This window comes from Homo sapiens, chromosome 8 (genome assembly GCF_000001405.40).
Source record: "Homo sapiens chromosome 8, GRCh38.p14 Primary Assembly".
NCBI classification, from domain to species: Eukaryota; Metazoa; Chordata; class Mammalia; order Primates; family Hominidae; genus Homo; species Homo sapiens.
The window spans coordinates 30916129-30933438 of record NC_000008.11 but is presented as its reverse complement, the minus strand read 5'-3'; the positions used below and the strand labels follow the sequence as shown (position 1 = coordinate 30933438).

General features: G+C 39.0%; 1 annotated feature.

Annotated features, from left to right (window-relative positions):
* Positions 14058-14559: an enhancer, noted in NCBI's record as "NANOG hESC enhancer chr8:30776396-30776897 (GRCh37/hg19 assembly coordinates)". NCBI's record gives its function as "activates a minimal SCP1, AML or CMV promoter by ChIP-STARR-seq in naive H9 embryonic stem cells {active_cell/tissue: H9 hESC(naive)}" and the evidence as "EXISTENCE:reporter gene assay evidence [ECO:0000049][PMID:30033119]".

The following is a 17310-nucleotide window of genomic DNA, read 5'->3' as shown; positions in this document are numbered from 1 at the left end:
AGGGTGAAACCCCATCTCTACTAAAAATACAAAAATTAGCCATTCATGGGGATGGGAGCCTGTAGACCCAGGTACTCGGGAGGCTGGGGCAGGAGATTCACTTGAACCCGGGAGGCAGAGGTTACAGTGAGCCAAGATCGTACCACTGTACTCCAGCCTGGGCAACAAAGTGAGACTCTGTCTTTAAAAAAAAAAAAAAAGTCACTTTGGCATAAGAATTATTTTGAGCTGAAGGCCCATGTAAAGTAGCAGATATAAAAGGGTCACTCTGAGGTCACTCTTTTTTTTCTGTACAGGATAGAAAAAAAAAATTCTTATCACCAGAGGCAGGGAGTCAAGGCTGACAAAAATCTGCATAAACAGATCTTGTTAAAATAACTCTTATCTTATTTTGCCTTCCCATATATTTTAGGTACTTACTCACAATTGCCACTCTTTGTCCAACCTACGATATAAGCATTTGGGATGTGCCTCTTCTTTGGGTCCTCATTTTCTTATGGGAACTTCCATGTACATGTAAAATAAAATCTGTATGCTTTTCTTTTGTTAATGTGTCTTATGACAACTGAATTTTCAGGCCTAACCTGAGACTCCAAGAGGGCAGAAGTAAAGTTTTGCTTCCCTGCAGTTGGAAAGATAATACATGATGTTAAAAAAAACATTCTGGGTGACATCAGCAACATGGCAGAATAGGAAGCTCCTGATTCCATCCACAGACACACCAAATAAACATGTATTCATGGGTTAACTCCTTCTGGGAGAAAGTCGGAGACCAGTTGAGAGACTCCTACCCACCGGGCAACTGAGAAAGTATCTGCATCGTACAGGTAGGAAGAGCTGAGGCACACTTGTGGATGGGCCCCACCACAGGCACTGTGCCATCAAATTGGGAAGGGAATACCCAGCTTTTCCCTGTGGAGAAGAGGGTTTGCACCTCACATACAGCACCCTAACTCTGAGGTTCCCCATGGTTTGATTCTTAATTCATCAATTCTGGGAGCAAAGGGGATTAGATGTGTGCGAGTTTCTCTAGACTGCAGGGAAAAAGCAGCAGTTTTACATGGTTTCTCAAGAACTTCCAAGGACTTCCTACCCTGGGAGAAATGCAGAAAAGGGACTTTAAAATACAACCTTTGTCTCTCCCTGGATGGGGTTCATAACACACTCTCTCAGTGGCTACTTGGCAGTCTGGCTTCCAACTAACTTGCATCAGGGAGTTAAAGGGATACACAAGTATTAAAGCATCCCTGCCTAGCTGAGAAGCAGGTTGGTACTTTCTGAGCTTTCTCACCCAGCTTACCCAGAAATAACTACATGTCTATTAATCCCTCTTGGAAGGAGTTGGTCCACACATCGAGCATCCCAACTTTTATAGCTTCCACCCAAAAAACGTCATCCTAAACTTTCCAGTTCTGGGGGCAGAGGGGACTGGCATACACATGTCTCTTTAGATCACAAAAAAAAGTGACAGTTTTATACAGGCGTGTAAGAACTTCCAGGGGCTTTATCCCCCAGGAGCAGTGCAGAAAAGGGGCTTTAAAATGCAGCTTCTGGCCAAGCACGGTGGCTCACACCTATAATCCCAGCACTTTGGGAGGCTGAGACAGGCTTATCACCTGAGGTCAGGAGTTCGGGACAAGCCTGGCCAACATGGTAAAACCAGGTCTCTACTAAAAATACAAAAAAAAAAAAAAATTAGCCAGGCGTGGTGGCAGTCCCCTGTAATCCCAGCTACTCTGGAGCCTGAGGCAAGAGAATTGTTTGAACCTGGGAATTGGAGGTTGAAGTGAGCCAAGATGGCGCTGTTGCACTCCAGCCTGGATGACAGAGCGGGACTCCATCTCAAAAAAACAAAACAAAACAAAAGCCGCTCTTTGTTTCTCCCAGGCAGGGGTTTATGCCGTGCATCAAGTATCCAAACTATTACAGCTACCTCCCAGAGGACTCCATCCTGAGCCTCTTAGCTCTGGGAGCAGAAGGGATTAGGCATATATGAGTCTCCCTAGATCATGGAACAAAGAGGGGGTTTTAAACAGGTGTGCAAACACTTCCAGGGGCTGCACCCTGTTGGAGTAGTGCAGAAGAGAGGTGGAAATATGCAGCTCTCATTTTCTCTTTGGAAGGGGCTTACGCTATACACCTCCAGTGGCTACTTGATGGCCAGGCTTCTAATGAACTTGCATCAGGAAACTAATAGGACAAACAATAGCCCTTATCAGCCAGAGCCAGATCTTGGCACTTCCTAAGCCTTCCTTCTGGCCCACCCTAGTGATAAATTCAGGCCTATCAATTCTTCCTGGAAGGAGTTTGGCTACACACCGAATGCCACAACTTCTATAGCTTCTCCTAATTTTAATTAATTAATTAATTAATTAATTTTATTTTTTGAAGTGGAGTCTCACTGTGTTGCCCAGGCTGGAGTGCAGTGGTGCAATCTCAGCTCACTCCAACCTCCACCTCCTGGGTTCAAGTGATTCTCTTGCCTCAGCCTCCTAAGGAACTGAGACTACAGGTGCACAACACCATACCTGGCTAATTTTTGTATTTTTAGTAGCGACAGGGTTTCACCATGTTGCTGAACTCCTGACCTCAGGTGATCCATCTGCCTCAGCCTCCCAAAGTGCTAGGATTATATGCATGAGCCACCGTGCTCAACCTATAGCTTCTCTTTAATGACCTAGATCTGGGAGTCAATGGGCTTTGCATTTCTGAGTGATCCTAGACCACAGAACATAAAGGTTAATATACAATGGACCTGCTTCCAGCAGCTATGTTCCCAGGATCAGAGGGTACAACCTGAACATGAATATGGGCATTTGACACAAATTCTCTCCCCATCGTAGTGCAGAGAGAGTAAGAGAAAATGCCTACACTCAGTTTCACGATGAAGACAAAAGGGAATGGAACACACATTCAACATCCCAATTTTCCCAGCTACCTCTAGAGAGTCTAGCTCTTACCTTCTTACCTCACCAGTCTTGAGGTACTGACAGAAAGTAACATATCCTAAGTTCCAGGAGGGGCCACCAAAAACAGAGATAGCAGTCTGGCCAAACACAAAGATTTGACAGGCACTGAGACCCAATCTCTATAAAAGAATAAAAAATTAGCCGGGGGTGGTGGTGTATGATTGTAATCCCGGTTATTTGAAAGGCTGAGGTGGGAGGATCCCTTGAGCCCAGGAGGTCAGGGCTGCTGCCATGAGGTAGGATTGTGCCACTACATTCCAACCTGGGCAACAGAGTGAGACCCTGTCTCAATAAATAAATAAATAAATAAATATGTCTGGCACCTTAAAATCCCCTGCATGAGGCCAATCTGACAAGACTGGGAGAGGTAATTGTCTTATCTAATATGCAGTAACCAACACAGAGAGTAAAGGAAAATGAAGAAATAGGGCAATATATTTCAAATAAATGAAGAAGATAAATCTCCAGAAACTGACCAGAGTGAAGTGGAGATATGTGATTTATCTGACAAGGAATTAAAAATAGTGGTTGTAAAGATGCTCACCAATGTCAGAAAAGCAACACAAGAACAAACTTGTGAGAATTTCCTTTGTTTTTGTTTTGTTTTTTATTCGAGATAGAGTCCGGCTCTGTCACCCAGGCTGGAGTGAAATGGTACAATATGGGCTCAATGCAACCTCCACCTCCCAGCCTCCAACTATCTTCCCATCTCACCCTCCCCAGTAGCTGGTACTACAGGAGCATGCCACCACGCCTAGCTAATTTTTGTATTTTTGGTAGAGATGGGGTTTTTTCATGTTGCCCAGCCTGGTCTCGAACTTCTGGGCTCAAGCAATCCTCCTGCGTCAGCCTCCCAAAGTGCTAAGATTACAGATTTGAGACACTGTGCCCAGCCCAAACTGAGAATTTTAACAAAGAAATAGAAAATATAAAAAAGTACCAAACAGAAATCATACAGCCAAAGAATACTATAACTGAACTAAAAAATTCAGTAGAGGCATTCAACAGCAGACAAGAGCAAGCAAAGCAAGAATTGATAAACTTGAAGACAGGTCACTGGAAATTGTATAATCAGAGGACCAAAAAGAAAAAAGAATTTTAAAAAGTGGGGAAGTGAGGACAGTTTAAGAGACTTATGGGGCACCATCAAGCATAACAACATATGCATTATCAATGTACCAGAAAGAAAAGAGAGAGAGAATGAGACAGAAAACATATCCGAAGAAACAATGATAGAAAACTTCCCACACTTGGGGAGGAAATAGAAATCCAGATCCAGGAAGAACAAAGGACACAAAATAAGATAATTCCAAAAAGACCCACACTGAGACACATCATAATCAAATTATCAAATTAAACACAAAGGGAGTTTTGAAAGCAGCAAGGGAATAGCAAATTGTTACATACAAGGGAACCGCCATAAGATTATCAGTGGATTTATCAGCAGAAGCCTTATAGGCCAGAGGGAGTATGGGGTGATATATTGAAAATCCTGAAAGAAGAGAAAAAGTCAACCAATAATACTATACCTGGCAACCCTGTATTTCAAAACTGAAGACGTGATAAAGACTTTCTCAGACAACCAAAAACTGAGAGTTTATCACCACTAGGGCTGGCTTACAAGAAATGCTAAAGGGAGTTTTCAAACGAAAGAAAGGATGCTAACTGGCAACATGAAAACATTTGAAAGTAAAAGTAAGTACATTGTCAAATGCATAACACTCTAATACTGTAATGGCACTGGGTAAATCAACTACATCTCTAATATAAAGGATAAAAGGCAAAACTGTTAAAAAAAAAAAAACTAAAACTGCAAAACTTTGTTAAGGATATAAACTATTACTACTGCAAATTGTAACATCAAAAACACAAAATATGGGCCAGGCTGGGTACAGTGGCTCATGCCTGTAATCTCAGCAATTTGGGAGGCCAAGACAGGAGGACTGCTTGAGCCCAGGAATTCAAGACCATCCTGGGCAACACAGTGAGACTGTCTCTACAAAAAAAAATCAAAAAATTAGCCAGGTATGGTGGTGCATGCCTGTAGTCCCAGATTCTCAGGAGGCTGAGGAGGGAGGATTGCTTGAGCCCAGGAGGTTGAGGCTACAGCAAGCCATGACTGCACCACTGCACTCCAGCCTGGGCAACAGAGCAAGACCCTGACTCAAAGAGAGAGAGAGAGAGAGAGAGTCAGGAACAGTGGCTCATGTCTGTAATCCCCACACTTTGCGAAGCTGAAGCAGGAAAGTCACTTGAGGCCAGGAGTTCTAGATCAACCTGGTCAACATAGGAAGACCTTGTCTCTATAAAAAACTTAAATATTAGCTGGGTGTGCTGGTGTGCACCTGTAGTCCCAGCTTCTCAGGAGGCTGAGGCAGGAGGCTTGCTTGAGCCCAGGAGTTCAATACTGCAGTGAGCTACAATCATGCTACTGCATTCCAGCCTGAGTGACTAAACAAGACTCCATCTCAAAACACAAAGAAACAAAAACATAAAATGTGGGGCAAAGGGAGATAAAAGTGTAGTGTTTGTGTATGTTATCCAAGTTAAATTGTTATCAGCTTAACATACTAGTTATAAAGTGTTGTATGTAAGTTTCAGGGTAACTACAAAACAAAAGCCTATAATTTAAAAAATCCAAAAATCCAGGAATATAAAGTAAAAAATTAAATCTTTTTTATAAACTTTTAAGTTCAGGGGTGCATGTGCAGCTTTGTTAAAAAAATTAAATCTTACCTACATTCCCTACCCTTAACTACCTCACTCTCATGCACTACGGAAAATTACTGTTAAAAGAATGATGTATTTTCTTCTAGATTTCCTACTAAGGGCACACACACACACACACACACCACACACACACACACACACACACAGGGTTTGTAACTTTTTAAACAAAAATTGGATGGCACTATGTTTATGTGTATGTGTTTTACACCTCAAATCTATCATGAAAAAAAGAGGCAGATAAAATGACAATTCCAGAAAGTTGATAATTGTTGAAGCTGGATAATGGATACATGGAGGCCCATTATTCTCTTTATTTATGGATTTAAAAATATTATAAACATCCTTCAGTGTGTGTGAATACAAAAATATCTATCAATTTTTTTCATGATTATATAGCATTACATAGTATGAATGTGTTATTTATTTATTTATTTATTTATTTATTTATTTATTTTGAGACAGAGTCTTGCACTGTTGCCTGGGCTGGAGTGCAATGGCATGATCTGAGCTCACTGCAACCTCCGCCTCCCAGGTTCAACAGATTCTCCTGCCTCAGCCTCCTGAGTAGCTGGGATTACAGGCGCCCGCCACCACACCCAGCTAATTTTTTTTTGCATTTTTAGTAGAGATGGGGTTTCACTATGTTGGCCAGGTTGGTCTCGAACTCCTGATCTTGTGATCCTCCTGCCTCAGCCTCCCAAAGTGCTGAGATTACAGGTGTGAGCCATTGCGCCCAGCCTGTGTTAGAATTTTTATTCTCTTTCTAATGAATGTTAATTTTTTCTCTCCCCTCCTTTTTTTGTTTTTATAAATTATACCATGATTCTTATTCATTTATTCCTTCATTAATTCAAAAATATTTATAGAGGGCTTACAGTCTGTTAGGCTCAGATTTTCATCATATTTTTCTATATATACATAAAAATATTCTAGTCTTCACTCAGCAAAGTAGGAACTATATTACTATTTATATTTTGGTATAATAGATAAATTTATTAGTTCTATTATCAATGTATTTCAATGTATGAATTGAACATTTAATTATTTTTAATAGAGATAACATACCACTGTATAGCACCATTTACAAAGGGAGGCTTACAATAGGATAATTGGGTTTTCCACGTATTATGTCAGATTATGCCTGGTATCCCTCCTTCCTGCTACCAACCTTCTACCCTAAATCATGAGACACTGCATCACTAGGGTCAATTCTAATTTAGGAAGAAGATATTCAAGGGATTCTAAGCCAAGAATATTGTATTTGATATCATTACATCTACTATTTTGTACCTCTAATATTTTACCTAAGTTGTAATGACTAGCATTCTTCTCTCTTGTTCCACATTCCTGATTCTTATCTTAGTCACCTTTCCAGGCTGGCAATCTTTTTTAGGATTGGAGACCTGAATTGTTCTCCACTGTTGGCTCCAGTGGTTGACATACCTACTCGAATCTGTTTTCCATTGCCTCCAGAATTCACCTGTATTTATTCCACAAGCATCTTAAAGCACAGGTTACTCTGCATTTGGACTACCCTGAGATCAATCCTGTTGGATTTTCCAGCTGTCTTAAAAACTTTATTCTGCCTACTGGTCTGGCCTTCTTCCCATCCTCCCAGCCATGCCGTTGTATCTGTTATTGCAGTGTAGTGGGATTGATAAGGAATTAGAGAGACTGATGGGGTTGAGGAGGATATTTATTATTTAGGTGCACTGGCCCAGTCGGATTAGAATCCAAAGGACTGAGCCCTGGACAAAGAGTTAAGTTACCTTTTAAGCATTTCGTGGGGCAGTACAATATTGGCTCAATGCAACCTCCACCTCCCAGGGTCCAACTATCTTCCCATCTCAGCCTCCCCAGTAGCTGGTACTACAGGGGCATGCCACCATGCCTACCTAATTTTTGTATTTTTGGTAGAGATGGGGTTTTGCCATGTTCCCAGCCTGGTCTTGAACTTCTAGGGGGAGATCTGTGCAGGGGGAAGCATATTACAGAAGCAAGAAACAAAGACAGTCATTCAATTAATTGAGACATGCATTACATCATTTCTTACTTTTCAAGGAAAAACATATTTTATGACTTGAGTTTATCTGTCTAGTGACCTTGCAGCTGCACAGCTAGAGAAACAGGGTCTTCACAATGCCTGGGAAAGGAGGCGACATAAGGCTCACTAGCCACAGAAAAACAGGCAGTTAATTTTTAAAGGACTCCAGCTTTTTCTCTTTCTTAGGGGGAATTGGGTTTTTTACATACAACTGAGTTTGTGCTTACACATTCTTTCATTTCTTTCAATTCCTGTTCCGGCAGGGCCTATACTACCTTTCAGGTCTGGTTCTAGGTCTGTACAGTTTCTTATCTAGCTGCGGTCTGGATCCACAAAAAGACTCTGAAAGGCTCAAAAGACCATTCTCTACATTTATCAAAAGATTTCATACACGTTTCTAGAAATGGAAAGAAAGTATAAAGGCAAAGTTGTTCTGAAGAAAGAGAAGTCAGTAAATATCAAATTACAGTAGTTCAGGTGAGGTTGGGAAAGACTTGATCTGTAAACAGAGATAATGACAGCCGTGAGTGATCTCATGAGGAAGGTTAATGATGAGTTTTCCAGAATAATTGCAATTGCATCATGTTGTTAGTAAATAATAAATTCTACAAGTAGAAATCCTTGACCAAAATAAAATTTAAAATAGAAGCTATCAACAAAAAGATAGCTTTTTAAAAAAGTAATTGCCTGGAGATATTAAATGACATCTCTAACTCCTGGATAAAAGAAAAGTTAAAACTGAATTTACAGATTATTTAGAAAAGCAACAACGATAACTCTCCTTATCAAAACTTTTGGGATACAGCTACAGCCACATTCAGAGAAAAATTCAAATCTGTAAAAAACAGGAAAATGTGAAAATTGATCAATTATCTCAAGAAACAAAAAAAAAATTCTAACAAAAGTAGAGCCAATGAATGTTCTAACTATTACACTAAACTCGGAAAACTTAAAGGAAAATATTGACAGGTTTGATTACAAAACTTATTTTTAAACTCTAGAGCAAAATATGCCATACATAAAAACAAAATACAAATGACAAACTGGGAAAAAACATCCAACATATGTCAAAAACACAATAATGCACTGAATATGTACAAATATATTTTAAATCAATAAAAATGAACAAACACTTCAATAGAAAATAAATGGGGATTAAACAGAAAATTTCCAAGAACAGAAGCTAAGAAGCAATCACACAGATGAAAAGATGCTTAACTTCACTAGCAATCAAAGAAATACAAATATAAATCATACTTTTTTAATTTACGAGGCTAAGAAAAATTCAGAGGAGGGATCCCACTGAGAACTGGCATGAGAATGAGAAAACTGGCACTCTCCTCTGCTGTTGATGGAAGTGTAAACTGATGCAAATTTTATTTTGGAAGGTTGATTTTGACAATATGCCTTAAAATTTAAAACTTGCATATTAACTCATTCAAGATAGTGGTCTAAGCAAATGTGTTTATCTCATACCTGTCAAAATCTCATTCAAGTGACAGAAAATACATAAAAGGAAGTTCCTTGCCCAATGTAGAAACTATAACTAGAAACCTGCGCCCAAAATAAAGGCCTGATGCACAGCTGAGCACCACTCTCCACGAGGGTTTCTAGGAGAAACTCCAAGTTCACAGTGAGTTGGAGTTGGAGTGAGTCATGAAATAAGATAATTAATTTACTGTTTGTATACAGAATACCTGGTTGAGACATTTGCTTTCAAGTTAGGTATGATAAGAATAAATTTCAAAATGAATTGCAAGACCAACGGTGACAGTGAGGCTTTGCAACTCCACAACAGACAAAAAGGAAAAAAGGAAGTGAGGCAATGTGCTGGGTGAAATATACTATACACTCTGTCTCCATGTTAATGTCTTACTACAGTAAATGAAGGGCCTAAGCTTAGCTGGTCTTTATACACCTGTGCAATCCGCACCCACTCTGAAAGGAATCCTGTCTTGTCCACACATTCCTGCCCACTCTCTTCTAGAACCCTGTCTCCCCTCCTCATCATGAGAAAAGCTATCATGGAACAGACCTCCAGAATTGGAGGCGCTCCAGGTCAGCTTGTGTACTGCACAATCTCATCTGTCATTGAAATGTATGCACGAACAACCTAGAGTCCCCAGACGTTCAAAACAAAACAAGAGCATAAATAAAACATTTATGATAAACAAGCAGAGGAACCCCCTCTAGAAGAAAGAAATATTTCAGGAAGAGAAGAGACCTAAAAACTTCTAATTATTGTCCTCAGGGAAATTTGAAAATTCAAAGAACCTGCAAAAGATACAAGCCGCTATAAAAAAAAAAAAAGGATAAAAAGATGGGGCATACACATTTGTACCCATTTAATAAGAACTGGCTGTAAATAAAATCAGAACACATGGCTGGGCATGGTGGCTCACGCCTGTAATCCCAGCACTTTGGGAGGCCGGGGCGGGAGGATCACGAACTCAGGAGATGGAGACCATCCTGGCTAACATGGTGAAACCCTGTCTACTAAAAATACAAAAGAATTAGCCGGGCATGGTGGTGGGCACCTGCAGTCCCAGCTACTTGGGAGGCTGAGGCAGGAGAATGGCGTGAACCCAGGAGGTGGAGCTTGCAATGAGCTGAGAGCGCGCCACTGCACTCCAGCCTGGGTGGCAGAGCAAGACACCGTCTCAAATAATAATAATAAATAAATAAATAAATAAATAAATAAATAAATAAATAAATAAATAAAATCAGAACACGTTATTCCAAATTTAAAGGAAAGGATCTGAACTCTGAGTGAGAGAAACTATAGCTGGGGTAAACAGAATTGCTTTTAGGGAAAGGAACAAAAATAACTCCCAAGGAAACATACCTATGGCATTTATTTTTAATTTAATTTTATTTTTTGAGACGGGGTCTTGCTCTGTCACCCAGGCTAGAGTGCAGTGACACCGTCACAGTTCATTGCAGCCTCGACCTCTCGGGCTCAAGTGATCTTCCCACCTCAGCCTCCTGAGTAGCTGGGACTACAGGCACGTGCCACCACTCCGGGCTAATTTTTGTATCCTATGGCATTTTTAAGAAACTTGTTTTCTGAAGGGTTTCAATGTGAAATCTACCCCCCAGAGTTTTACCTTTCACTTGAAGAATTTGTAGCAGAGTAGAGCTAGAGACAATGTTTGCTGGAGAACCGGAGGATACATCAAATGTGTCCATTGCCTTCTTCTTAGATTTACATTTATTTCCAAAATCTCTTGCTTCTTAGGCATAAGGTCAGTAATTTATGGGTTGGACTAGGATTGGAGAATCAATCCCTAAATCAAAATATTTATTCAGTGCCATGTATATGCTTAGAACTCTGTATAACAAAAAATTTATTCAGTTAGCAGCATTAATACAAGCATTAATACAGCTCTTTCCAAACAGGTGCAAAAAAACCCTATGGACTCTATGGAAAAAGAAATCTTGTGCTAAAACTTCAGTAAGTCTTTTTAAAAAAGTATTTCAGAAATTTTTTCTTTTACGTGGTTGTTTTCAGTGTGTCTTTTGTATTATTTTATCATGATTTTGTAGGTAAAAGGATAACATGCCTCTAAGACTAAGAAATTTAATCCTTTAAACCTATTTTTAGATAAAATTTACACACCATAAAATTCAGCCTTTGAAATTGTATATTTCAGTGGCTTTCAGTATATTCACTATATTGTGCAACTAACAACACTAATTCCAGCAAATTTTTATCATCTCCAAGAGAAACATTATACATTAGCAGTCATTAACCATCCTCTCCTCACCACAACCAGTAATCTACTTTCTGTCTCCCTGGATTTGCCTATTCTGGACATTTCATACAAATAGAATAGTACAATGTATGATTTTTTGTGTCTGGCTCCTATCACTTTGTGTAATGTTTCCCAGGTTCATTCATACTGTAGCAATGTATCAGAACTTCATTCCTTTTTATGCCTGAATAATACCCCATTGTGTAGATATGCCACATTTCGTTTATCCATTTATCAGTTGATGGACATTTGGGTTGTTTCCACTTTTTCGCTATTATAAATAATGCTGCTATGAAAATTCATGTACAAGTTTTGTGTGGATATATGATTCCAATTTTCTCAGATGTACAGTGGGTATATATTGTGGGGTCATATGGTAATTTTATGTTTAGCTTTTTGAGGAACTGCCAGACTGTTTCCAAAACACCTGCACCATATATTTCTTTCTTCCTTCTTTTTTTTTTTTTTTTGTAGAAATCAAAATATTTATTCACATAATTTTAAACTAAAGTTGAAGCTAATAAATCTTCCATGGCAATGATTTAAGTGCAAGTGATGTTTGGCTTTCTTTCACATTCATTTCTTTTCTTCTGAGTGAAGGCCTATCAGTTATTCTTGAACAAGTCAATACAGCTCTGCAAAAGGGAGACATTGTTCCTGGCATGTTTTATTTCCAGTTCAGACATTTCAATTAGATTCTTTCTAAATGCTGCCACTCTCTTCCGTTTGAAATTTATCAGCTCTTCTTTTGCAGATTTGGAAAGTTGTTCAAATTTCTGGCAGCACTCCTGCTGGTGTACCTCAGCCAACTTGACATCTTTGCTCTTTAACCAGGCCTTATCCAGAGCTTCGTTTGAGTTCTCATAGTCGATGAGGGCTTTGGCACCTGCACCGTATATTTCTAACCAGCAGTATATGAGAGTTCAAATTTCTCCACACCCTCATCAATACCTGGAGGTTTTTTTGTTTTGTTTTTAAACTTTTATTTTAGGTTCAGGGTTCCATGTTCAGGTTTGTTATATAGGTAAACTCATGTCACAGGGGTTTTCTGTACAGATTATTTCATCACGCAGGTACTAAGCCTAGTACCCAATAGTTGTTTTTTCTGATTCTCTCCCTCCTCCCACCCTCCACCCTCAAGTAGACCCCAGTGTCTGTTGTTCCCCCTCTTTGTATTCATGTGTTCTTGTTATTTAGCTCCCACTTATAAGTGAGAACATGCTGTATTTGGTTTTCTCTTCCTGCATTAGTTTGCTAAGGATAATGGCCTCCAGCTCCATCCATGTTCCTGCAAAGGACATGACCTTTTTTATGGCTGCATAGTATTCCATGGTGTATATGTACCACATTTTCTTTATCCAACCTGCCATTGATGAGCATTTAGGTTGATTCCATGTCTTTGCTATTGTGAATAGCGGTGCAATGAACATATGCATGCATGTGTCTTTATGATAGAATAATTTATATTCCTTTCTCACCAATACTTATTACTTAATATTTTTATTAAGGAATTTACACTTGTATATAAATTTAAGTTGAAATTTGAAACTGATCATGCAAATGCTCTGCAGGTACAAACTACATTCCTCATAAAGACAGGATTTAGAAATAAGGAACCCAAACCCCTTAAAGGAGACAGTCATATTGATCTTTAAACTGACTTTGGAATTACGGATCTGAGTTTGAACTCTGTAAGCTCTGTGATTTGAGGTAACTGCCTGAACCTCCATTTTGCTTCCCTAATATGATGACAATAATCATTCCTATTTCCAGAATTGGAGCCAGGATTTGGGGTCCTGAATCTCATACAATTTGAGGACCCATATTTAAGGAAAACAATAGAAAATCATGAATACAAAATTAGGTATACATAATGTCTTAGCTCAGGCTGCTATCACAATATATTATAAACTGGATGGCTTAAACAACTGACATTTATTTTCTCATAGTTCTGGAGTTTGGAAGCACAAGATCAGGTTGTCAGCATGGTCAGGTTCTGGTGAGGGCCCTCCTCCTGGCTTACAGACAGCTACCTTCTCACTGTGTCCTCACATGGCAGAGAAAGACAGCACTTTAGGGTCTCTTCCTCTTCTTATAAGGGCGCTAATTACAAAAATTAGCCAGGTGTGGTGGTGTGTGCCTGTAGTCCCAGCTACTTGGGAGGCTGAGGTGGAAGAATCAACTGAGCCCAGGAAGTTGAGGCTGCAGTGAGCCATGATCGCACTATTGCACTCCAGCCTGGACAATGGAACGGGACTCTATCTCAAAAACAAAACAAAACAAAACAAAAAAAGAAAACCACAAAAAGAATAACACCCATAAGGGAGTAATCATGCTTTTTTCCCTTTCATACAATGTATATCAACATGATTACTTCTTTTTTTAGTTTTGTTTATCTCTGATAGGCAGCTTAATATCTGATATGAACCAAAAAGTCATATGGAACTAATTTTTTAAAGATTCTATTAATGGAATATGTTAAAGGGTAATGGCAATGCCTAGAATATTTAGAATTCTACATAGATTTATCAACCTACAATTGTTATTCAAAAAAGAAGAGATCACCTGGTTGGATCTGTTTTTTCTAGTATTTTCAGACAAGAGAGTTTCTGCATTTCTAAAGAGAAGAAAGGATGGGTTGAGATTAGATTAAGCTTTTCAGCAGAACAATAAGAATCTTTGGCACGGGTATGGGGTTAGGGACCACACTGCTGTTAAGCAGCGAGCTGCAGGTAATAGAGATTTTCGAGTTCGAAAGGCTGCTTCACTCAGCACTGATGTGGGGCTTGCTCTCTGCAGTACTGGGTACACAGCTGCCCTCTACTGGATGAAATGACAATTTACCCAAGTTCATCGAAACTGGAGTTAATTTACTCAAGCATTCATTTAGCTTTCAACAAATATTTATGACTATCTCAGGCACCGTGTTGAGCTTCAGGGATACAGAGGTGGGGAAAACACATTGCCTGCCCTCAAATATCTCACAGGGAATTGAAGAAGACTTATAAGAAAATCAGTGATTGCAACGGAGAGTGTTAAATGCTTTAATAAAGAGTGGTAGCATTTAATAAATGCTTTAATAAAGACTGGCACAGATACTATTGGATTACGAAGAAAACACGATTTATTGTCTACTTTGACTTATTAACTGGTGTGACCCCTATTTGAGACCTCATCTGACAAAAAAATTGAAAATATTCGGTAATTTTACCTTGGAGATGAGGTTGACAGATCAAAAACAAGGCATCCAGTTAAATTTGAATTTCAGACAAATACTGCATGAAATATACTTAAAGTTAAAAACTGCAGTAGTTTTATTTACTTATTTATGGATCTGGTAGTCCTACAAGAAGCCTGCCTCCTCAACCCTGAATTGTTTAAGAACCCCAGGTGGGCTTAATAAGTACCAAGGGACCAACTTTGCTTTCCAAAGGCTATGTGAAGTAAGAACAGGAGTGATCAATCTACTACCATACTGTTATTTTCTGTAGCTGGTGCACTTGTTACTGCCATTCTCACTCCTGTCACTTCATTTTACCATTGAAACAGCAGTCCCTGCATTATCTCTGCACCCCTGCTTATGTTTATGGCAGAGCTACTGATCATCCAGCTTCCTGCAGAGGCCATAGAGATTCTTCTAGGGAGAAGAGTCTCTTTCCCCAAGCCTGTGTTTGTAAGGTTACAGCACCATTGATTGCCCATGCTGGAGTGGCTGGTTTTAGGAAGAGCTTCTGGATGCAGCCTGGGCTGAGTACCGATGCTGGCCACCATTGCCACACTCACCCTGACTTCACCGTGTGCTCATTCATGGAGGTCCTTCGGGGAGACATACTGCCAGCTTTTCCCAGCGGGGACCATCTCAGTTCATCAGAGAAGTTTTAATTATGTTGACCCTAAAGTAGGTCAATGCTTCCCTCTCTTTGCTCTCAGAAGCTCATTGGTTCAGGAGTAAATTTGCATATTTTCTCCCCAGTCTCAAGATTTTCACACCAAAAGAGTATTGGGAGATGAAGCCATTTTCAAGTTGCAGAAAAGTTACCATTACAACCTTTCCCTAGGAAACTGGGTGCATATGTGCCTTTCAATTACGTAACTATTCAAGTGATTCTTTCTACATCACTTACTATACAGAGATGATGCTGGAAATGATTAAATGGTAGCTTTCTCATCAATAAATTAATAATTAACCTCTCAATTGAAGATATCTTTTATTTGGACTTAAGTCAAGAGTATTTGCTGAGCAGCACTTTTTATGTGCCCAGCACTGCCTGGAACTACAGCAATTCGCTCAAAAAAATGTTGAAGACGTGATCTTGTGAAGGTTATAACATCGCTAGGAGCTTAAAATTTGACAAATAAATTATCTGTGCTCTTAGAGTTTGATAAGAAAGTTGTTTATTCTTTTCACTTAGCATAGTACAGTGGGGAAAAAGTGAGGTTTAGAGTCAAAGCCCTTGGATTTGAGTTCTCATTCTACCATTTGTTACCTGTATGTACTTCAGAAATGATTTATCTGTGCTTCAGATTGTTCAACTGCAATATGAGATTAATGGCATTGTTCAGAATTGTTCTGAGGATTAAATGAGATATTAATTTCTTAAAGTTTGGGTCTAACATTCCAGATGACATCAACAATTGATATGAAAATTATGCTAATTTCTTTAATCAATTGAGGAGCCAATAGATACTCTTTTCATTTGTATTGATAATTAGAGAGTACTGGTTTTAGTATTATTTGGTTAACAAAAGTATCCATACCTGCCAAAACACTAGAGGAAAGCAAAAGTAAATATAGCCCACATGACAAAAGATATAAAAGAAAAGAAACAGCAAAGATGCATTAAAAATAGCTAAACCAAGATGACTAATGTCAATGTCAGATATACCTATAAAAGCTTTTGCACTCCTGTTAAAAAAGAAATTAAGCCAGGCACGGTGGCTCATGCCCATTATCCCAGCACTTTGGGAGGCTGAGGTGTGAGGATCGCGTGAGCCTAGGACTTTGAGACCAGCCTGGGCAACACAGGGAGACCTCATCTCCATAAAAAAAAATTAGCTGAGTGTGGTGGTGCATGCCTGTATTCCCAGCTACTGTGAGGCTGAGGCAGGAGGATGGCTTGAGCCCAGGAGTTCTAGGCTGCAGTGAGCTATGATCACACCACTGCACTCCAGCCTGGGTGACAGAGCAAGACTCTATCTCAAAAAAAAAAAAAAGAAAGAAAAGAGATTAAAATGGAATAACATTTAATTGTACACTGTTCATTAGAAATACATGGAAACCAAATGGCACAGAAAAGTTAAAAGCAAAAGATTGGACAGAGAAACAAGAAGCAAATGCAAAGACAGAAGGGGGTAACAATAATAATTCGTTAAAGTAGAATTCAAGAGAGGGAAAAAAACATTTAAAATCTGATAAAGGGATTCATTTTATTTTAATACAAGATCCAATATGCACAATACATAGTATTCATAAAGCTTTATGTACTAAATAATATAGCTATACATATATGAAAAAAGTGACTACAAATTTGAGGAGAAATGGACATTTGTCTAAGACTTAGAAAGATAAAAAGACAAAAATACGAAATATGCCAAAAAAAAGTAAGATTTGAATGGTCTGAATAATACAATCAACAAGATAGATATAATGTGTGTATGTTAAACTTTACATGCTACAGAAGGCAGCAAAAGAAAAAATTAAAAATGCAAATACAAATTATTTTTAAAAAACAATCGTGAAAATAATACTATTTATGAAAACTCATAGGATGAAGCCAATGTATGACCTCAGAGGTAGAGCTATAGTCTTAAA